Consider the following 24,337-nt stretch of genomic DNA (forward strand, 5'->3'; position numbering starts at 1 on the left):
TATTAAAGTTAGAAGGACCTAGAGCTGTATCCACTGTACTTGAACTTCCTGGTATTTCTACCAACAAAGTGCATGTGAATTTTGATTCAAGAGCTCTCTCTCTAGTAACAGCATGGTGTTGAGTACAAGGGCCTTTGGTGTCAGACAGACCTGAGTTCAAATCCCAACTCCAACCATTAGTAGCTTTGCAACCTTGATCATTATAATTAATCTATCTAAACTTCAGTTCTCTTGAAGGATAATGATGATACCCAGGTATGGGGTGGGAAGATTGTGAGAATGAGACTGAATAAAGTATATATGTTTTATTAGCATAGTGCCTATCTCAGTAAATGAAAGGGTTTCTTTTTCTTTTTTTTTTTTTGTATGTTTGTGGTTTTAACTTTGTTATGTCCATAAGGTCCTTCCAGAATCTACATGACCTGTCTCCTTACTGATCATTTCTTGTCACTCCTTTTCTCCTATACTCTATCCAGGCCATACTAACCTTCTTGCAACTTCCCAAATAAGCCTAGTATGTTTTGGCTGGAGGACTTTACTTTGCAGCTCCCCTTGCCTGGAATGCTTCCCCTCCCAAGTGTACCTTCGTCACTTTCTTCAGGTCTCAGTTCAAATATTAACAAGAGAAATCTGACTTAACACCCTGGCTGAAATGGCTTCCCTATGACTCTCTTTCCCATAACACCATGTTATGCTTTTCCATTGCCACTAGACATGATTTTATGTTGTATTTTTAATTTGTTTATTATCTGTTTTGCTCTCTTGAGCATGTCAGGTCCACATGAGTAGCATCTTTGTTTGCTTCTGAGCCCAGAGCCTAGAAAAGTGCTTGGACATAGCAGATTCCTAAAAATCATTGTTAATGAGCATTGATGAAGACAGCAATAGGAACTCTTAAGTTCTTTAGGACAGGGGTACAACAGGCACATAGGTGCAATGGCCAGAAAGGGGCTCTGAACACCCCTGCCTCATACCAAAGCTGAGAATGTATATGAGCTTTTCTTATTGAGCCAAGCAGAAATATTTCAATTTACCCATCACATTATACGAATGAGATGTTAAGACAATGAGAATACACAGTTTTAGTATTCTTTACCCAAAGGGTGCCAGTGCTCTTTAGGGTAGATGAGGTGTGGGAAGCTGGGCCAGAAGAGATTCCAGGGAAAATCCTGGGTGAAGATTTTTAGCTGGTGTACCCTTTCTGAGGTCTACTATTTTTTCCCCCTTCAAACTCCCTCAAAACCTGTTCATATTGGCTGTGATCCTCACGAATTTTTGGGTACAATCGAGGGACTGAAAAAATGAGAATTGGAGATCAGATTAGTAAATGCAGGATATAATAGTAAATTCAAGAATCCCAGACATTCTCAACATTACACACACCTACACACATATTAATATGCATATGTATGAAATGAACTGACGGAAGTGTCACAGAATATTTTAAGATCTTTCTGTTCTCTTTCTCAGTCCATCATAATGATAAAATAGATTCTCTTCTGGATTTCTATTTCCCAGTAACTGAAGGACTATATAAGATGGCATCCAGCTTACGTAAGCATTATCCCTGCTGACATTCCAAACGAGCAGTTCAAATGCCACCTAATCATCCAGTTATAGCTTGGATTTTGGCAGTCTTTTATAAAACACTGCATTTGAAGGAGCATCTGCCTTTTGTATATTGGCCATGTCAGCACCTGTGGCTGCTTCTTTTTCTAGAAACTTCTGAACATGGTAAACGTAATATGAAATAAAATTAGTGCTAACCACCAGAATGCTCTTAAAAGTGTATAGAGTCATGATTGAAATTCTGAATGTACAGCCCATTTTTAAAGAAAATTGGCTATCTCCTCTCACCTCTTACTCCTCCACTACCCTCAATGTTAGTTGTCTTAGATTAGTGCTTCTTAAACTTTAAAGTATCTACAATCACTAAGCCGTCAAAGGGACCTTATTAAAATAATACATATTTTTCCAGAATGCCGGGAGTAGGGCATGAGATTTGGCATTGCCAAAAACTTCTAGGTGAAGCCATGTGCTGGTCTGTGAACCACACTTTGAGTAAGTAGCAGGAGTTTATTTTTATTTTTATTTGTATGACTTTATTGGGTACAAGGCAATTTTGTTACATGCACCGATTGTGTAGTAGGGAAGTCAGGGCTTTTAGGCACCCATCATCCAAATCATGTACATCGGACCCATTAAGTGAAGCACTGGTTTAGATGACATAATGTCACATGTTTGGTTTTCTAATCCCCCAAATTAATAAGAGAATTTTTAAGGAGGTCATTTACTATTTTTTTTTAGGCCAGGCTGGAGTGCGGTGGTGCGATCTCGGCTCACTGCAACCTCTGCCCCCTGGGTTCAAGTGATACTCCTGTCTCAGTCTCCTGAGTAGCTGGGATTACAGGCACGCGCCACCATGCCTGGCTAATTTTTGTATTTTTAATAGAGATGGGGTTTCACCATGTTGACCACCATGGTCTTGATCTGCTGACCTTGTGATCCACCCGCCTCGGCCTCCCAAAGTGATGAGATTACAGGCGTGAACCACTGTGCCTGGCCTCTTCCACATGCATTCTCTTGTAACTGTGTTAAGAGATTTTGTTCTGAGGTATATTCACATCCAATTGGTAACCAAGCCATTTTGAGTCTAAGAAATATTTCTCTCTTCTCCATCCCCACAGGCGCTGCCTCAGCTGAGGCCTTCCTCATTTTTCCCCTGCAAAGCAGTAATAACCTCCGATTTATCTCCCAAGCCCCAGCTGCACCTCCCTCCAATCCATCATCTCATATTTTATCTCCTTATTTTTCTTTCAAAAATTGTTTTGATGAGCTCCTTTCCTGATTAAAGGCCCCTGCTGGCTCCCCTTGCTTAAAATAGAGGTTGGCATAGGCTCTGTCCCCTGACAAAATTGGGCTGGAATACAAACTCCTTCAATTTCCTTTTATGTAACATTGGGCAACTTGCTTAACTTCAGAGAGGCACACTTTCCTTATCTGCAAAATGGAGATACTACTGCTTATCTGGTAGTGTTGTCATGATTTAGATGGAGGACTGTAGGTAAAAGCATCTAGTGTATGATGGCCATAGCAGATGTTCGATAGCTTAATTACTCCTCCCTCTTCCTTTCCTTTCCAGCCTGACCAAGTTTTGCTTTTCTAACCTCTTTCTTTTGAACCTCTTTCTTCATGTCCTGCCTCCACTCCCTATAAACCACACATAACGCATTCTCCAGCCCCACTGAACATCTCCTTTCCCAATATATCTGTGGAAATACTCTTCCTTCTCTCCTCCAACCCAGAAAATCCCCTTGGTTTTGCTCTCTTCCCTAAGGAGCCTGAGCCTTTGTACTTGGGCAGAATTTGCCACTCCTTTTTGTCCTCCCAAACCACTGTGATTATGCCTCTTTCAAAATATACTTGCTGTAATGTGCTGTTGTGGTGTGTTGTTATGATTTGTGCTCATGGCAGTTGCCCCAACGTGATTGTGACCCCTCAGTGGAACGGACTTTCCCTTATTTTTCGATCCTTAATGATTCAAGCATTTGTTTAATAAAATAATAGAATCAATATATGTAATTTAAAGAAATGGATGCTCAAATATTATATTCTAGAAATGATATATAGAGAAAAATAATTCTGAAAGCTTTCCTGGACTAAAAATAGTGGTTTAGAGTACTGATCTCCATTTTCTTTTCTTTTTAAAATTTATTTACTTATTTATTTTGAGACAGGGTCTCACTATGTCGCCCAGGCTGGAGTACAGTGGCGTGATCTCAGTTCACTGCAACCTCCACCTCCCAGGCTCAAACGATCCTCCCACCTCAGCGTCCTGAGTAGCAGGGATGATAGACATGCGCCTCCCTGACCAACCAAATTTTTTTTTTTTATATTTTTTAGCAGAGATGGGGTTTCATCATTTTGTCTAGGTCTGGAACTCCTGAGCTCGGGTGATCCACCCACCTCAGCCTCCCAAAGTGCTGGGATTACAGGCATAAACCACTGTGCCTGACCTAATCCCCATTTTTGTAGCACTTTTTTTTTTTTTTAATTTTCAGGGCTGGTTTTAAATGCTTTGTGTCCACAATCTTTCCCGATTCCTTGATTATTCTTTGTTGTAGGTGCTATAATACTTATTTCACAGATTCAGAAACTGACATTCAGAAAAGTTAAGTAGCCTTGCATAGTTACATAATTTTAACTGTTAGAGTGGGGATTTGAACCTATGTTTTCTGACTCCAAGGTTTATCTTCTATGTGGTACTATCTCATCCAATCTACTGCCATAGCCTGGTTTCGTCTTAAACATAGATGAAAAGTGTGGGTTAGTGTCTTTATTAGAGAAAAATTTGTGGAGCAGGCAAGAGAACTGTCTGCAATAGTCACATCTTTGAGTGGTTGGAGATAGTTATTAGGTAGATAAAACATAACTAATGAACTGTAAAATTCTAAAATCTGGACACCTCATAAATCCTTTCATTTTCACTCATTATTTGTTTTGAAAAAGTCACGAAGCAATCTTATTCCTGAAAGAAAACTATTTTAATGATACCTTTTTGACTTTCAAAGGTACTTTTCATTTTCACCATACAATACTTGCACAGGAGATCCTTACACAGATAATTTTCTTGACCAAATCACATAAGAGAGCTTATTCCTCTAGTCTCAAAGAAATCAAGCTAAACCCCAAGCAAATCATGCAAATTGCTGTGTGTTATCCTGTCCTGGGAACTGCTATTTGTAACAGACTGTCCAGGTATTTTTAGTAGGGAACTCTTGTCTACAAGAGCCTACAGATCTGGAGAGTAATTGTATAGCTAATTGCATCTGCAATTAATGACAAATTTGTAGCTTGATGAGCAGTTGTGATCCCAAATATGTTTGAAACCTCTTGGTAACATAGCAACTATAAACTGCCAGAAAAGTTCTCATGGGGGGGACTCTTGGAATACAAAGTGAAAGTCATTCATTCATTCATTCATCTTATCAACCTCTTGGAAACCTCTCAAACTTAGACATAGACATTCAGTTGGGCCTATAGGGTTTCTGTATTTATTGAACCTATTGAGAGCTAGAATATGCCAGACTATTCAGAAACAGGAAATTGATCCCTGGAATAGCTTAATGCCTAGACAGGATTTCTCAGTGTATTCCCTGGAGCACTAGTTGCAGGGCCTATTAAGAGATGTCAGGTGAGAAAATAGTGTTTTAAGGCCAAATATATACAGAAACACTGGGTTTAAAAAATTCCAGCAGATTTCTTTTCTACTGGACTTCTCCGAACCTTTAATATGTCACTGTGTATTCTGACTCTCCTGGAATAGTAGTTACTGTTTGTTCAATTTGCTTTGTTCAGGAAGTATCTCAAAAACAGTAATCTGCAAAATAGGAAGCACAAGCTTGAAGTGTCTCTATAGGTACTGTGGAACTGTGGGCAGCTGTATTTTGCCCCCTGGGCTTTTGATAGATTTTGTCTAGCTGGGAGCTAATATCTTACTCACTGATGTAGCACCACTGTAGCAACTTTGTGCAGATACAATGTCAAGAGAGTAACAAACAAAATCCTACCTAGAAATAAAGAGGCAAAGATAAATAAAACATTGGTATGGCCCATGTTATACAGAGATTTCTATAATTATAAAGAAAGAAAAATTTAAAATCGAATACATTCTGTATAGCATCTTAAACATATGTTGAGTGAATTCCTTTGGACAAACTTGAAATCTTGTATTTTCTCCACAGTATTTCTAAGAACACTGTTAATTTTTATGTAATGTCAAATTATCATAGGTAATAAGAATTCATTGAGGAAAATGGGAGAATTTATATTTTATGTAATCAAACATTTGTGATGTTTCAGAAATCACATTATGAATGTCTCTATTTCATTGACTCTTTCTCTTCTGAATCGTTCCGACTGGAAATCAAGGTCTACAATCGCCTGTACGGTGTGGTCAAGAGAAATGAAATGAAATATATTCTGCTATTCTGGTAGCAGAGTCAATGTAGGAGATTCTAAACCCAAAGTTAATGTGAAGCCCTGGTTTTATTATATTGTTGATAAACATACATACTCTGTCACTACAGATGCCTGAGAGTTGGCTGTCAAAGTAGTTTTATGGCATTTAAATACTTTTCAGAGGAATTTGCCTGAAAGACATTGGGTAAGTAATAAATTGTGTGTCAGGGAGAAGAAAGGAACATGGGGTTGCAGATGGATATAGAAGTAGACTGTGAAATTGGGCAGGTGTCATCTGCTGTTCCCATGTTTGGTAGGTGAACTTTAGCTTCATTAAAGATGCCCTTCTAGAAATTAAAAAGTTGTTCTGCGTTTCAAATGCTCCACAGCCACATGTGGCTAGCGGTTTCTGTATTGAACAGGGCAGATACAGAATGCCTCCATTGTTGCAGAAAGTTCTATTGAGCAGTAGTGTTTATATTAATATACAGATTTCAGACCCATATGGGAGTTAGGAGTAGGAAAAAAGAAGAGAGGCTAAAATGGCAGGGTTTTATCAGCAAGTGGTAGATTTTGAAGTTATAGAGGCTGGAGAAGTATAATGTCTTAAATTCTTTAGAAATTTAGAGCACTATAAAAAGAGTTTTATGCCTAAGAATAAAGAAGCATTAAAAATACGGAAACATGGGAAAAATAGATTAACATTTAGCTCTGTATTTAGCATATTCCTGCTTCTTAATATATTACTCTTAAGGAAGGGAAGAAGTTGGCTTGTTTTGAAGCACACATTTTACATGACTAATTGAAACCAGGGACTCCTGTGCTCAAACAGCGTTGTGAGAATTCAATTCCATGAGGGCCCTCAGTCTACTATATTTGTCCAAAGATTACAGTTAGAGCAACCTCAAAGAACGGAATTCTCAACAAGGAAAGAAAAACCAATGCAATGGGTAAGTAGGACCATGGCAGACAGAAATTCAAGATCTGAAGGAAATGCGGGTGCCCACATAGGCCCATCTGCAGGAACACTGTTCCAGGTATGGGAATTGGTTTATGCAAAGGCCCTGAGGCTGACACATGTTTTGGGCGGTTCAATAAATAGCAGCATGTTTAGTATGTCTGGAATTGAGTGAATGAGAAAGAGCGGGGAGAAGTGGAGGTCTGACAGGAAGGTGGAGTAGAGTACAGAAAGAAATGCAGACCTTTGCAAGAGCACTGGACATTCTCTGAGAGACAGGAAGCCACTGGGAAATTCTGAGTGGAAGAGCAATGTGACCTGGCTCAGGCTTTGCTGGTGACTTTCTGTCCTTTCACCCTATATATGCTTTCACAATATTTTTTATTTGCTTACTTCATAAATTGGAGTGGATATACACAATTTTGTCAGTTTTGTGGCAATATTTTCTATCAAATTTGGGGCAGATTTCATTAATTGTAGATTTTCCACTGTTTTTCAAATAATATCAACCTGACTTAGGTTACACAGCAATGATCAACAGAAGCAAATGGAATTCAGGTTTCTTTACATCTCTTAATACTTTCCCCCCTTTTTATAAACTTTCCTAGCGTTAAGGGCTAATAAGACATATTTTTTGAAGAACTGCCATAGAGAGTTTTGATGAAAAACTTGCAGCATGGGCATGCCAGGGAGTGAATTTAAAGCAGAGGAAGCAGAACTAAAAAATTTTCAAGTAGTGTTCCTATTTTCTATTTCTTCTTCTCCTTTTTTAAGGCTCAAGTATTATTTGGGCCAATGGAGGGCCCAAGCAGCCACTGCATCCCCAAGCCTCTAGCTCTGTTTCTTCAGCGCCAGCAGTTCAGGAAAGGAGAAAGAAAGACAAAATAAGAAAGAGGAAGAGGAGAGGCTTCTGGAAGTTCAGAAAGAAGTAGAGAAATGCTGAAAAGTTTTCACTTCTCTTTTTCCCAGCCTGGGACGTAGAAAGCAGACTCCCTGTATGTAAAGAGTATCCCTAATGGAAAAAAAAACCATTGTAAAAAGGGGAAATCACCTTTTATCCTATGAGAGGAGCTAATTGGGCATCTTTAAAAAAATTCAGATAATTGAATAGAGGAACTTACGCAGAAAAAATATTTTAAAATTTTCTTTTAGAATGAGAGGGGAATTTCAACAAGAGGGCAATAAAAAATGCTATCATCCTTGATAATAAAAAAAAGTGTTTATTTAATCAAATAGTCTATTGGCTTCCTGACTCATACATCTATCTCTATTTGTTTTAGAGATTGTTCTTGATTGCTGGCATATTTCTGTCTTTGGTTCTACACAGTAGCCATTGTTTAATTCATAATAACATGAACAAGAATGGGGTTGTTAAAGATGACCTCTAAGGTTTGAAGGTCAAAGAGATTATATAGAAGCAAGAATCAAGGACAAAGCTGTAAAATTCATGTTCAAAGAAGGTGTGGTAGGGGTGGGTGGATGGACTTGTTTCTTCATTTCTCTTTAAATCTGTCTCTGGGCTGGTTTCATTTCAATGAGAGAGACAACCATCACCTTGCCACTGCTTCCTAAATAGATCACTGCAAGTTTGAGGAGTAAAAGATGTCATGCCCAGGGCTTAGTCTAGAAGTCATCGCGTATAGCTTTTTATATAAAATTCATCCTTGCAGTTTGAGATTAATTTTCTGTTTGCCATCTGATAGTAATATTGAGGAAATTTGAATTGTAAAGATTTTAATAATCATTTGCAATAAAGATAAGTAGTTTTCAGAATTATCTCTGGAAGCTGATTTAAGGGAAGTCAACAGTTAGGCCTGGGTTCCTGGGATGAGATTGAGAAAACAAGGTAGGCTTTGAGTCTTGGAGGACTCTCACAGTACTTATTCAAGCAGTTGCTCTTACAGACTGACATTGACAAATAGAGAACTTCCTGGGACATCCTTTGGCTTAGGACAATGATTAAGCAAATATTATCTTCATGAGAAAATTTCCATCAGGTTTTGGTATGTTGAAGATTCACTATTATATTTCTAAGTGCCTTAGCTTCTTAAGCCATGTTCTAAAAATCAGCTAACTTGCTGTTTTAAAAAACTTTCTGACTCACCTACCTTTTATTTTATTTTATTTTTGTAGACATCTGCAATGAGGAACAGTACATCTAGAACAGTATTTCAATATGGCCCTTAGCTGACTGTCTTAAATGTACCAGATCCCTGATTACTTTTGCAGTTAACAATGTGAACCCAGAAAAATCCCTAAATGGAAATCCTAGTTCTCCTAATCACCAGCACTGAACACTGTACAATAAAGTCCACCCAAAATAAGTCAGGGCCATAATTTCCATGATGACAGTCCCCAATACAGCATTTTGTTATTGTTTCTTTCAAATCACTAGAATTCTTCCCATGTGCTGTCATATCTTCAGATAAGAGCCACATGGAGATTAAATGTGATTTTAAATGAACTTTTACAGGCCTCTATATTTTCTTCGTGAGTTTTATTATTTTTAGAGGCAAGTGATGAAAGGTTATTCCCTGCAAGATCTAGCCAGTTAAACATGCAGCATAAAATCCTGAAGCCCTGCAGTCAGACACAGAAGAGCAAAGGGGAAAACGAGAAAATGTTCCATTGGGGCTGCAGCTTTTCAGAGTATGCAGGAATGATGTCATTTGTTTTCACAAAACCCAGTTTAAATTTGTTCCTGCCTTTCAAGAACTGCAGCAGGGAGCATCTGTGGAGACTCCTGCATCCCATATTTCAGGGCGTTAGAGTGTACGCTGCATTGGAATCCAACCAATCGCAGTATTCTTGCCCGCCCCAATTTTCATTTGTTCCCCCTACCTGAGCTGCCCGTGTTAAATGACCGCCCAGCACCCTCTCCCGTGTTACAACTGCAGAGGCATAGCTCCATGCCTTGAAGGGTTTAAAGGAGAATAATACCACAATAAAAACTTACTTCTGATCACCCAGGGACATTCATTTCAATGACAAATAACCTCCAGGAAAAGATCTATCTGTGAAGGATGTTTTTGGTTTGGGGTTTAAATGAAATCTTAGCCTTTGGTTTTTGCAGCCCCTGGGTAGCACTGGGGCCATCGTAAGAAGCAAGAAAACAGAAATCCTAGGCTATTGAACTTTCAGGGGCAGAAGCAGGACCTCCAAGTTCTATACCAACAATTATCTTTTCACAAAGCAAACCCCATTTCTATGTATATAGTCATATGTGATGATTGGAAAATAAGTAATGCAGCAGAAACAGCATTTTAAAAACTATATTAAAGTGATGGAGATGATGGTGTGAACTTCACTTACAAAAATAATGGATAAGATACAGAGTGAAAAAGACAGTGTTGGTTAGCATGTCACCTCACTTGTTCTTAGTTTGTCTCCTCCATATGTAGATACTGCATATTGGCAATTACAGTTATCAGTGTAGGTTCTCTGGTTGTGAGCAGCTGTAACCAAACTAAACTAAAGGAATATTTATTGGAGGGCCATGAGGAAACTTACAGAATAAAAGGAAGACTGAAGAAACTGACTTGGAGATGACAGGGGCCGTGGTGTTATGGCATTTTCCGTTGGAGAAACTGCTTGTTGGGATTGTCAGTCCCCACTGCTAGACTGAATCATCGCCAAGTTTCCCTCCCACTTTTCTCATCATTCCGCTCAAGGGACAAAATTCCAGGAGAGAGTGTCCCATTGCTCACATGTCCAATGTGACTGCTTGGCTTGGAGAAAGCAGGGAGCCCTCAGCCTTCTGATTCACAGGGACACCTTCTAAAAGGAGAGGGGAAATTCTGCCAAAGGAGGTGGGGGTGCTGCTTCCAAAAGAAAAGGGGAAATGAGTGCTGTGTGCTCTTCTCTGTCACCATGATCCATGCCTTGGGTCAGGGCCTCCTAATTTTCTTGCCTGAATTAACAGTCTTCCTCCTTTAACTCATTTTTTTAAACTCATTTTTAAACCTTTCAATCGTTCCCTATTTGTAAAGGCCAAGCCAGGACACTTTTGAAAATGACGCCAAGTGGTATTGATTGTTATACCAGGACAAGAGGCATAAACTGGGACCATCTTTGGCAAAGTGGATGTATGGTCATTCTTCCTTTAACCATACTTTCTTCCTACACTTGACCAATATCTAGCCTATTCTTCAAGACTTGATTTAAGGAGAACTGAAAGCTCTTTGAGTATAGAAATGGTGCCTTTTTCTTCTTGTGTCGTCTGCATCTTATCTCATGCTTGGCACATGGCAGTTGCCCCAAGAACCTTCACTGTGGAGTTATAATCGAGTGTGACTATTGAATTCCTGTCTTTCCTATTCCCATATGCTTTCACATCCACATTTTCTATGTATCTTGGGAGTACACTATTCCCAGTATTCACCTTGGAGGGCATAGCTAACTTCTGTTTTCTTTGTATACCTGTCATTCTTTCTTTCTAATAGTGACCCCAGTGGGCCTTCCTCTCCATCATATAAATGGGTAGGGTAAAGAACTAAACGAGCTCAGACCATTTCTGTTTATAAAAGATGCTATTGATGAAAATATACTTTTTTTGATGAAATGGAAAGTGAAATATTTAAAAAGAGATTGTCCTTAAAACGGAATGACTTTTACTGAACACCTCTTTTGTGGTATACAGTAGAGTACTATAATAGATTTTCACCAACCAGTAACTTATTCTCTGCGTTACCAGACTTTGTCAACGCACAAATCCTCTAGGTATTCTTTCAGATATATCCTCCTGGTTTCAGAAATGCTGGAATTGGAGCTCTACCTTGAATTGTCTTTTCCGAGGCCCACTCTGTCATCAGGATTTATCAGAAGGGTGCGTTATTTGTCCATGTCAGTGCTCAGATCATGCCCTAAGGACTTTTCTTAAGCAATATGTTCCCTTTAAAACATTGTTTTAAAAAATCCTGTCTTGTGCGGCACAGTTGCATCTCAGAGTGAGAATCAAAGAGGTTTCCTAGGTCAAGCAGAACCCCAAGCAGATTCCTCCTAGGCCTTTCCGAGGGCCCACTCTGCAGGCTAATGAGGGTGCATAACTCCATGCTGATCCCTTTCCATCTCTAGCTGGATGCTGTGATTTTTCGGAACCCAAGCCTAGTGAGTACACTGGCTGCAGCTCTGTGATAAAGGCACAGGCTTTCAGCCTTGACCAAGGGCCCACATCCAAAAATTCTGTATCAGAAACCAGATAATTTCATATCGTTTGCACTGTACTCCACCTTATCCATACTGTTTTTCTTTTTGTGGAAATTTTTTTTCTCTTCATCAGTCACTCTGAAGCGTTGCTCACTCATTCACTCAATTCTAGAGCAGTACTTTGCGGACCTTCTTGTAACCATGTTGCCTCCCTGTTCAGAACTTATGATGTAGAAAGCAAAGCATAGGATGCTATTGAAATGTGGAGTTTTATCTCTTAAATCTCATGTCAGTATCAATTACAGCACCAAAGCAATGACATGAAAATTTGTGGGTAAAAATGGAAAATGAGTTATGTTTATATTATGCTAATATATTTTTAACTTAAAATTTAAAAAATATAAGCTATTTGGCATTGCAGTTATTAATTTGAGAGAAAAATGAATTAACTGTGGAACAAAGAAAGGACGATAATTTCATGTAAGGGGTGAAGTACGTGTTTATTACTTAGATAGTATGGTAGGGAGACGGCCCAGTTCATTGGAGGGTAAAATGAAAGAAGATGTAGGAGAAAGTGAAGTGTAATTGGTAAACTCAGCTGAGGGTAGAGAAAAGGAGCTTGCAAGTTAGAGAGTTGTGAAGTTTTTGATAAAAGAATACATGCATTAGGACCTATCAGACATCAAGTTCTACAAGACAAGAAAAAATATTTTTCTTATTAGAAACTCTACAAGACATTTTCTGTCATTCCGCATTGCCGAGGATAATTCTTCCACACGCTTATTTAAGATGGCTTTCTCAGAATCTGTGTCTATACAGTCAGAGTTAAGGTGAAAGATGGTAACCATCTGGGTAGTTCAATCAGTGTAGCTGGTAATGCATAATTAACCTCCTCCCTTCTCCCCACTCATTCTCTTTTCCCCAGTAACAATTTTGAGGGTATTTTCCCCCATAAATCTTGAATTATCTGGATAATTGTTTTCTGTACTTCATGTTGCTAGAAATCCACAGCTTGACTGATATCAATAACAGTTTTTTAAAACCTCCACATCTGCAGAGGATACCATAGAGAAAAAGTAAAGTGCTATATTTCCGTTGCTTTTGCTGGTTACCTAATCCAAAATTTTTAAATGCTCTACATTTTAAAAAGTTGTTTAGGAAAACATCTGTACAGCCAGGTACTGAAACTGACTTATTTACTGATATCTAATTTTTCTTCATTTAACTTCATATAACTGTCAGGCCACAGAGGGTCACTACATATTTAGTTGTTTTTTCCCTTTTAAAATTGTTTTTAACTTAAATAAAAATTGGAAAAAATATTAGTGTGCTGTCTTACTCTCTCTTTTTTTTAGGTTTAAAATCTGTGAGGGCAGGAATTACATATTCTCTATTTATAAAAAACATTGAAACTTATTCCACTGCTTACAGTTCAGTGGGGGTCACTTAATGATATCAGTAAAATTCAGTGTCAATCTTTAAAAAGAAATATTTTTCGTCTCCCCGAAAATATCTCTCTAGTAAAACTTGTTTGTCAAATGACTAGAGCTCCCTTAACAAATAAAACATAACACTATTTGCTGCTCTTTTCCTCTGAAGTGATGATAAATTGCTGGGGAGTAAAAGCCTTCACACTAATAACAGAGGAAAATTGACTCTAAGATCCCATCATTTTGTTTACCAGCTGTCTCTACAATTCTCTGATAACCCAGCCCACATTAAAAAATTGTTCAGAGATAGTAAAATAGACCAGAAACAAATGATCTCTCTGCTGAAATTAGTTTAAGCAGGGGAAAAGGCTGGAAAGAAAGATTTGATCCAAAAACTTACCTAGCTCTCAGGCATGATACCCGGTGACCACATAGTCGGTGCTGAAACACAACTCAGGAGCATTACATCATCGTGACAAACTTTCATTGGCTGCAGAAACCCCAAGGATAAGACAGGCTTTTAAGGTGCTGTGTGAAAACCCCTGTTGGTTCTTTATCAGGCTATGGCCAAAATATTGAAAGAAAGACTTTTTCTACATTCATGTTGTCATGGCTGAGCTGACAAAACATTGTTAACCATTTCTTATGCATATTTATCTCCACTTTAGTCCCTAGTTTTGTGTTTAACTCTAACCTGTTGGGAAATTATTGTCTTAAAACTATTTGTTTCAAAAGCCTTGTTTTTCGTTTGGCTTGTTTTTCTTGAGGGTGCAGAGTATCACTCTGTGAATGGCTATTTCCCTTCTTACTCTTCAGACCATCTTTCTTATTTTTAAAACTATATTTGAATCAATACATCTGTTTTTCTATTATTTATTTTGTCTTTATTCTCTCTAGGCAAAGAGGACTAGCACCCACAGATTTGAGAAAGCACAAGTGTGTTTATTTATTTTGAGCAATTTAATTGGAACTAGTGCACAAAGTCCTTACTTCCTAATTATTCATTGTCATTGTTAGTTTTATTTTCTTTTGAACTCTATGAGTTATTTATGTCGTGCTTATTACCATGGTGATTTACAAACCAAAACCATGTGTGTAATTTGAGAGTGTGAGGAGCTTTAAGTGACTGAGTGAAAGTGATAGGACAATGGCTAGATCCTGCACCACTGCTGCACCAGTCTCTCCTGCCTGAGGGGGAAGCATTTGATGTAGGGAAAATGCTCTTGTTATAAAAGTAGAACATTTGGACAATTAGATTCATCATTCAAGAAATGACAACAGTGTCACATTACTATCGAATGTTAATTTCTCTCTCGCTCACTCTCTGTGTGACTTTCTTTATCTCTGATTCTGTCTCTCTCAAATTTAGGAGTACAGAGGAGCAGAATGATGACAAAAGTGACTGAATTAGTGGCTTTTTAAAGTATCTCATGTCTTCTCTCTCCTAAGAACTTGACTGTCTAGTCTCTAAAAGATAAGCAAATACATACACAAATACCCTAAAAAATCCTCTAGGCTGGGAACTGAGAACTATGTTTCTAGTGCATGTCTGGGCTACTCAGCTGGGCTGTAAATACTCTCTTATTCCTCTCAGACCCTTCTCAGCCATGGGTTCTCAGCCACGTGCCTTGGAGGAGGCTAATCTACCTATTGCAAGAGAAGGAGTGGCTGCTGAGCCTGTTACCTTTCTTCTATTGTTAGGAATATCTTTCTACTATTGTTCCTTAGACCTCTGGTCTCCAAGAATAGCTAGTCATCCTTTTTTTTTTTTTTTACTGTGTAGAGTAATACTGAGGATTCAGGGGCCTAGATTATGGTCTTGAGATATTTATGAACATTTCTAATAGTGATGAGGAGAAAGGGAGAGAAAAAGAAGAGAGAACTCTTTCTTATTTTTTCTCCACTGAGAGGAAGGAAGGGATAAACCAGTCACAATCTCTCTGTTTTGTAGCTAGGATTTACAGAGTAAAATAAGATCTATCCCTTGCCCTCAAGATGTTTCATACGAGGAGGGAGAAAAATAATATTCCACAATTACTATTAAAGTCTGATAAAAATATGATAGGTGTATATACATTGATGGGCCTCTAACTGAGACTGGAAGAGCCAAGAAGTGGGGCATATGAGCTGAATTTTGAAGACATAGGGTTAACTAGCTGAAGAGAGGGAGTAAAGAATTCTGTAAAAGGAAAACAGAATGTAAAGGCAAGGAGGAATGAAGGCATGGTTTGTTTGAGAAAGAGAAAATAGTGTTCTGTTTATGGAAAGAAAGAGTGGTATGGAAGATAAAGCTAGATCAATAGATATGAACACATCATGGAGGCCATTGTGAGCTAAGCTAAAGGATATGGACTTTAACTTGAAACTATTTTAGGTCATTGAGGAACTATAATCAGATTTGTAGCTAAGCTGTATTAGTCTAGCAGTAGCCTGGAATGCATAGGAATGGACTGGAACCAGAGATCCCAGTTAGCTTACATGTATTTCAGTTGAACCTCGGCAGGAAACAGATGGCACTTTCAAAAAGCGTAATGGTAGAGAGTTTACCGAAAAAACCATTTTCACAGGTGTGGATGGGGTTAAGGGAATCAACAATGGAAGGTGAAGCACCCAAGGAGCCACATCAGTAGGAAGTTGTTACTGGGCAAGGTCTGTTATCAGACACTGAATCCAATGGGTAGCCACTGAGAAGAAAATCTGGGTGTTGCAGTAAATAGAAGTTAGCCTCTTGGGGCATGGAGAAGAGTAGTGATATTTAGAGAAAGTAACTGGAGATGGAATGAAACAGACTATAGACTCAACAGTATGTGTGTGTGTGTGTGTGTGTGTGTGTGTGTGTGTGTGTAAGAGAGAGAAAGAGAAAGAAAACAAGAGAGGGAAATAAACTGGAAGTATCTAGGTAGGATAATTTGTAAGTTGTTTTTTAGTCCTAACAAACAGATGGAGGGTTGTTCATTCATTGAAGAAAAAAGCTTCATGGATGCATGCTAATTGGTAAAGTTCCATTTTTATGCTGTTGGAGTATCTAGATAAAAATGTCAATTATATTAGCGTCTAGAGCTCAGAAAAGAAATCAAGGATCAGAGATGGGGCAGTACATTTGGTAGACATTAGCAGATGCATTGTTTTTGGGGCCATGAATGTGGATGAGATCACCCAATGAGAGAGTACATAATGTGAAGAGAATGAGGTTGAGGTGCAAGCCTGGAAACACTAACATTGAAGGAGCAGCTGGAGTAGAGGGGCCTCTAAAAGAAAACAGAGAAGATATGTTATTAACGAGTAGGGTGTTGGGAGTTAAAAATGGTGAGCTGGAAGGACAAGCTGTCAAGGTAAACGAAGAGTTTGAACTCATGATATTAAAGATCATATCCAGCGTATTAGTCAGCCAGGGCTGTCATAACAAAACACCACAGACTGGTGGCTTCCAGAACAGAAATTTATTTTCTCACAGCTCTGGAGGTTGTAAGTCCAAGATCCAGAGGCTAGCAGAGTTGATTTCTCCCAAAGCCTCCTTCCTTGGCTTGCAAATGGCTGCCCTCTCACTGTGCCCTCACATGGCCTTTCTTCTGTGTGTGCACATCCTTGGCATCTCTTCATCATCAAACAAGGACATCAGTCATATTGGATAAGGGCCCCAGTCTTATAATCTCATTTAACTTTAAGTACCTCTTTAAAGGCCCTATCTCCAAATACAGTCACATTGGGTAAACCAGTGGTTACCCATTGACTTCAACATAGATATTTTGAGAGGACACAATTCAGTACATAACACCTAGGCAGAGTGTGGATAGGGGAGTGAGTTAGTGAAATAAAGAGCAGATGAAGCTCACTGGAGCTGAGGCTAACAACTGCTACTCTCACAATAATTGACCCCACACTTAAAATTGAATTTTTTAAATCATGTTCTGGTGAGGTTTGTACTATTTTTGCCAAATGAGCCCAGTAGAATAATGATGACCACTACTAGTAGTATAGTTATCATATGTACCTATAAAACATGCAAAATATTTGTCTATATAACTTGGAGATCAACTAAAACATTTTACATGGAAAATATTGTCATATTTATAGATCAAGTTGAAGAGTCTTACTGTATATGTAATGCAAGTGTGTATGTATCCATATTATATATAATATATATATATATATCATGATCACTTTTTTGTCACTGGAGAAGCTTGTTTGAAAGTAAATATAATTGGCATAGAAATTTACATGAAATAGTTTAAAATAAAAATTGTACAGAAATTCACACAAGATAGTCTATTTTTTCACATAGTATCTTCTAACTTTCTATATGGGATGATCAAATTCTGAAAATGGTTACCAGATACTCAGCTTGTGTTTTTATGTATTTATATTGCCATTACATTCTTAGTGGGTAAATGCCAGAAAAAACTAATCAGGTATTACTTATCAGTTTTGATTTCTCTAAAGAGGAAACTGAGGCTCAAGAATAATGAATAATTAGCAAAAGATTAGCAAAGCACTGGCAGGAAAGAGTTTAGCTATCATTTTCCTACTTTTCACACTGGCACATATTCAATTATTTTTATTTTCTAGGTAAGTGAAATTGTTTTAAAGTTGACTCATTAGACACATCTTCCCTACGAGGTACAAAACTGTCATTTTAAAGTAAAAAGGCTGTAGTGCCACCTAATTAACTAACTTGCCAGTCTTCAACTCAGAAACAGAGCAAGGAAGGCTATCCAAATCACTGGCTCCTGGTCTTATGAACCTATACCTCGGCCATGTTTCTTTACTTCTCAGGTGTATTAGTCCATTCTCACATTGCCTGAGACTGGGTAATTTATAAAGGAAAGAGGTTTAATTGACTTACAGTTCTGCATGGCTGGGGAGGCCTCAGGAAACTTACAATCATGGTGGAAAGCGAAGGGGAAGCACGGACCTCCTTCATGTGGTGTCAGGAGGGAGAAGGAGCAAGCAAACATGCAAGAGAAGAACTACCAAACACTTATAAAACCATCAGATCTCATGAGAATGGACTCACTATCATGAGAACAGCATAAGGGGAACCACCCCTCATGATCTAAACAGCTTCTACCAGGTCTCTCCCTCAGCACCTGGGGATTACAATTGAAGATGAGATTTGGGTGAGGACACAGTCAAACCATATCATCAGGGTTCAGTCTGCTCATTTGAAGATGAGAGATTTGGTATGGATAATATCTTCTCACTTTAAACTTATATATGCCCATAACCTTTGCTTTCTAAGAATTCTAGGGATTTCCAGGGAGCCAACTCTTATACAGTTGTAATTCTTGAATACAGAGGATATTACCAAGGCTACAGCATGGCTAGCACTCAACACAGTAAATTCTGAGGACTGCTTTGGTATATGAGTGTGTCTGGGTATATTTGGTTGGTGTAAAAGTAATTGCAGTTTTTGCCATTAATTTTAATTGCAAAAACCATGGTTACTTTTGCACCAACCTAATAAAAGTTATTGTGAAAGCTCTCAAAACAAGATTAATTATACTGGACTTAATTCATACATATCATAGATGAAAAAACAATGGAATGCATTTGTTAATCACATGTAATTATTGTCAAAATTCAAAGATGATTAGAAACCGTTGGAATAAGAGTTATTACAAATAGACCAAAATAATCTGTTTTATTAAGTGAGAAAAAATTAAGGTTTTAGAAGCATCACCTGTATAAAAATGAAATAATACAATTTACTTATATAAAAATAAAAAGAAGTTTGAAATTTAGCAAATGCTAAAGGATCCTTAAAGAAATAAACAAAAAACCTGAAGACTGCACACCATTTCAGAGATGCCTCAGAGATAGAGGATGTGATGTAAAAATAAGAGTTTCCAAAAATTCTTTTACTAGATTCTAGGCAACTTGGTTAAGAAAATTCTAAAACACTCACAAGACATTAAAAACTAGTGTTTCTTGGTGCCAACTGTAACTGAAATTGCGCAGTTCAAAGATGATTTCTGAGGCATGCCATTTATGGCAATTTCTAAGCACAAACTTTTCCTCTAGGCCAATAATGTTAATGATTTTAAGAGCTTTGAAAGAAAGAGGTTGGAAAGCAGAATAAAATAAAAAGTGTAATATCACTTCCAGCAGGTATCTGGATTACCAAATGTGATGGTCAATTTTATGTATCCATTTCGGTAGTCAACGGCGGTACCCGGACATTTGGTCAAATATTATTCTAGATGTTTCTGTGAATGTATGTTTTAATGAGATTAACATTTAAATTACTAGTCTTTGAGGGAAGCAGATTACCCTCCAGAATATAGATACTAGAATCAGTTCCTTTCCTGGAAGAAGGGGGAACTCTTCCAGCAGACGGCCTTTGAACTTGAATGGCTACATTGCCTCCTTCTCAGTCTCCAGCCTGCTGGTCCACCCTGTAGATCTTAGACTTGCCAGCCTCTGTAATTATGTTAGCCAATTTCTTGAAATAAATCATTTTCTATATACTATATACAAATTCTATTCTGTTTCTCTAGAGAACCCTGACTAATACACCAAGGTTCTGTTAAATGGAAAAATGAAACAAGACAGATTTTAAATCAATGACAGAGAATTAGGAGTTCTCTACAATTTCAGTTAACATTCTGAATCTGGGGTATAAGTAAGGAAACAACCCCAGGACTGATGAATTAGTTTTTTAAAAAACCCAGCTTAAATATTTTACCCATTGCTGCAAAATTTATTTTTATTGAAAAGTAAAACCATTTTCTAAACATCATTAATTTCATTCTTCTTTCTAGATATTGATATGCCAACCTCACTTTCCATTTTATTATCTAAATGAGAATCGTAGGTAGCGAAGAATAATGATAACAGTTGATAATCATTTCCATTTCTTTTATACATGTGTCTGCATGTGTGCATGTGTGAATGTTTATCTGCCTCTTCTAGTCCTCTTTATTACTGCCTGTCCTACAGAAAACATGGTTTTTTGAAAGTTTAAAAAATATTATTATTACTTTTACTAAATTAGCTATAACTTAATTTTTAGTTGGTGTTTGGAATGAATTGGGAAAGTATTTGGGGGCTGGGGGAAAGAAGCTTTCTTATTAAACTTAAGGAAGGTTGGATTTTGAGACCCTTCACAGTTATTTTTTCAAATGGCTTCTCATCTTCTGCAGTTTCTCTAGCAACCTCCTCTCACCTTGTAATCAGATTCATAATTGTTGAATCTTTCCAGAATCATGTAATATATAATGTTATTCATTTCACACCAGACATTATGCAAAATTAAGCAAGAGGTTTCAGACTCTAAAACATTGCAATTTAAATTTTCTCTTTGAGAATACAAACAAATCAGAAAGGAAAAAATAATCCCATCAAAAAGTAGGCAAATGACATCAATAGACACTTCTCAAAAAAAGCCATACAAATGCGAAGAAACATGAAAAATGCTCAACATAACTAATCATCAGGGAAATGCAAGTTAAAACAATGAGATACTACCTCACCCCAGCTAGAATGACTACTATTTATTTTTTATTTTTTAAAACTTTTATTTTAGGTTCAGGGCTACGTGTGAAGGTTTGTTATATAGATAAACTTGTGTCTAGGGGTTTGTTGTACAGATTATTTTGTTACCCCGCTACTAAGTCTAGTACCCAATAGTTATTTTTTCTGCTCCTCTCCCTCCTCCTACCCTCCACACTCAGGTAGGCCCACAGTGTCTGTTGTTCCCCTCTTTGTGTCTATGTGTTCTCATCATTTAGCTCCCACTTATAAGTGAGAACATAGGGTATTCAGTTTTCTGTTTCTGTATTAGTTTGCTAAGAATAATGACCCCCAGCTTCATCCATGTTCCTGCAAAAGACATGATCTAATTCTTTTTAATGGCTGCATAGTATTCCATGGTGTATATGGCCACGTTTTCTTTATCTGGTCTATTGTTTATGGGTATTTAAGTTGATTTCATGTTTTTGCTCTTGTGAACAGTGCTGCAGTGAACATACATGTGCATGTGTCTTTACGATAGAATAATTTATCTTCCTTTGCGTATACCCAGTAATGTCGAAAGGTATTTCTATTTTTAGCTCTTTGAAAATCACCACACTGCTTTCCACAATGGCTGAACCAATTTACACTCCTGCCAACAGTGCATAAGTGTTCCCTTTACTCTGCAACCTCATTGGCATTTGTTATTTTTTGACTTTTTAGTAATAGCCATTCTGACTGGTGTGAAATGGTATCTCATTGTGATTTTGATTTGAATTTCTCAAATGATCAGTGATATTGAGCTTTTTGTTATATGCTTGTTGGCTGCATATGTGTTTTCTTTTGAAAGGTGTCTGTTTATGTCCTTTGCCCACTTTTTAATGGGGTTGTTTTCTTCTTGTAAATTATTTTATAGATGTGGATATTAGACCTTTGTCAGATACATAGTTTGCAAATATTTTCTCCCATTGTGTAGATTGTCTGTGTACTCTATTGAGAGTTTATTTTGCTGTACAGAAGCTCTTTAGTTTAATTAGATCCCATTTGTCAATTTTTGGTTTTGTTCCAGTTGCTTTTGGTATCTTCTTCATGAAATCTTTGCCAGTTCCCATGTCCAGAATGGTATTGTTTAGATTCTCTTCCAGGGTTTTTATAATTTTAGGTTTTACGTTTAAATTTTTAATCTATCTAGAGTTGATTTTTGCATATGGTATAAAGAAGGGGTCCAGTTTTAATCTTCTGCATATGGCTAGCCAGTTGTCCCAGCACCACTTATTGAATAGGGAGTCCTTTCCCTATTGCTTGTTTTTGTGAGCTTTGTCAGAGATCAGATGGTTGTAGGTGTGCAGTCTTATTTCTGGGCTCTCAGTTCTGTTCCATTAGTCTATGTGTCTGTTTTTGTGCCAATATCATGCTGTTTTGGTTACTATAGCCTTGTAGTACAGTTTGAAGTCGGGTAGTGTGATGCTGCCTGCTTTGTTCTTTCTGCTTAGGATTGCCTTAGCTATTTGGGCTCTTTTTTGGTTCCATGTGAATTTTAAGATAGTTTCTTCTGGTTTTGTGAAGAATGTCATTGGTAGTTTGATAGGAATAGCATTTAATCTATAAATTGCTTTAGGCCATTTTAATGATATTGATACATGTATAGCAATCCATATCTGAAAGGCACAACTGAAATATTGTGTGGTACAGTTGGAGAGGCAGGCAAAACTTCTGGGAAAAACAGTCTGGCCATTTTATTGATATTGATTCTTCCTATTCATGTGCATGGAGTGTTTTTCCATTTGTTTGTGTCATCTCTGATTTCATTGAGCAGAGTTTTGTAATTATCATTGTAGAGATCTTTCACCTCCCTGCTTAGCTGTATTCCTAGGTATTTTATTCTTTTCTGTGGCAATTGTGAATGGAATTGCGTTCCTGATTTGGCTCCTGGCTTGGCTGTTGTTGGTGTGTAGGAATGCTAATAATTTTTGTACATTGATTTTGTATCCTGAAACTTTGCTGAAGTCGTTTATCACTTTAAGGGGCTCTTGGGATGAGACTATGAAGGTTTTTAGATGTAGAATCATGTCATCTGCAAACAGGGATACTTTGACTCCCTCTCTTCCTATTTGGATGCCTTTATTTCTTTCTCTTGCTTGATTGATCGGTCCAGGGCTTCCAATACTATGTTGAATAGAAGTGAGAGACGGCATCTTTTCTTGTGCCAGTTTTCAAGGGAAATGCTTCCAGCTTTTGTCCATTTAGTATACTGCTGGCTGTGGAGAATGGCCATTATTAAAAAGTCAAAAAACAGTAAATGTTGGTATGGATGTGGGGAAAAGGGAATGCTTATACTCTGTTGATGGGAATGTAAATTAGTACAACCTCTATGGAAAACCATATGGAGATTTCTCAAAGAACTAAAAGGAAGTCTACCATTCGATCCAGCAATCCCACTACTGGGTATCTACCGAAGGAAAATAAGTGATTATATAAAAAAAGACACCTTGCATGCATAAGTTTATCACGGCACAATTCAAAATTGCAAAGAAGTTGAACTAACCTAAGTCCCTATCAACCAATGAGCAGATAAAGAAAATGTGGTATGTACACAACATGGAATACTACCCAGCCATAAAAAAGAACAAAATAATGCCTTTTGCAGCAACTGGGATGGAGCTAGAGGCCATTATTCTAAGTGAGGTAACTCAGGAATGGAAAACCAAATATATGTTCTCACTTGTTAGTGGGAACTAAACTGTGGGTAAACAAAGGCATACGGAGGGGTATAATGGACATTGGAGACTCACAAGGGGGGTTGTTGGGAGGAGAGGTGAGTGATAAAAAAACTACATATTGGGTACAATGTACACTTCTCAGGTGACAGGTGCATGAAAATCTCAGACCACTATACAATTCATCTAGGTACCAACCAAAATCACTTGTACCCCAAAAGCTATTGAAATAAAAAAATACTAAAACCCACTGACTTGTATACTTTAAATGGGTAAATTGTATGACATGTGAATTATGTCTTAATAAAGCTGTCATTAAAAACTTGCTCTGAGTTTGACTTGGTGTTCATATTTTCTAGGGGCAGACTTATTTTTTTTGTTTGATTTTGTCTTGCTGTGTCACCTAGGCTGGAGTGCAATGGTATGATCGTGGCTCACTGCAGCCTCAAACTCTTGAGCTCAAGGAATCCTCCCACTTCAGCCTCCCAAGTAGCCAGAACTACAGGTACACACCACCACTCCTGGCTAATTTTTTAAATATTTTGTAGAGGCGGGGGTCTCACTATGCTGCCCAGGATTCTTTAAGTACCAAATCCACAGTTTTCCTTAGGAAGGTTTGCCTGCCTCTCCAACTGTGCCACACAATATTTCAGTTGTGTGTTTCACATATAAGT

General features: G+C 37.8%; 1 protein-coding gene and 1 long non-coding RNA gene across 7 annotated transcripts in view, besides 1 other annotated feature; one reads left to right on the forward strand and one right to left on the reverse strand.

Annotated features, from left to right (window-relative positions):
- Positions 1–13,944, reverse strand: part of KLF12 (KLF transcription factor 12) — a 619,957-nt gene extending 606,013 nt beyond the window's left edge. For both annotated transcript variants that reach the window (NM_001400153.1, NM_001400139.1), the window contains exon 1: positions 13,895–13,944. The gene's annotated coding sequence lies outside the window, so the exon portion shown is untranslated. The remainder of the gene's footprint in view (positions 1–13,894) is intronic.
- Positions 1–24,337, forward strand: part of LOC105370259 (uncharacterized) — a 120,734-nt gene that overhangs the window by 4,032 nt on the left and 92,365 nt on the right. The gene's annotated exons all lie outside the window — the stretch shown is intronic.
- Positions 9,654–10,155: an enhancer, noted in NCBI's record as "NANOG hESC enhancer chr13:74875892-74876393 (GRCh37/hg19 assembly coordinates)". NCBI's record gives its function as "activates a minimal SCP1, AML or CMV promoter by ChIP-STARR-seq in primed H9 embryonic stem cells {active_cell/tissue: H9 hESC(primed)}" and the evidence as "EXISTENCE:reporter gene assay evidence [ECO:0000049][PMID:30033119]".

This window comes from Homo sapiens, chromosome 13, assembly GCF_000001405.40.
Source record: "Homo sapiens chromosome 13, GRCh38.p14 Primary Assembly".
Lineage (NCBI taxonomy): Eukaryota > Metazoa > Chordata > Mammalia > Primates > Hominidae > Homo > Homo sapiens.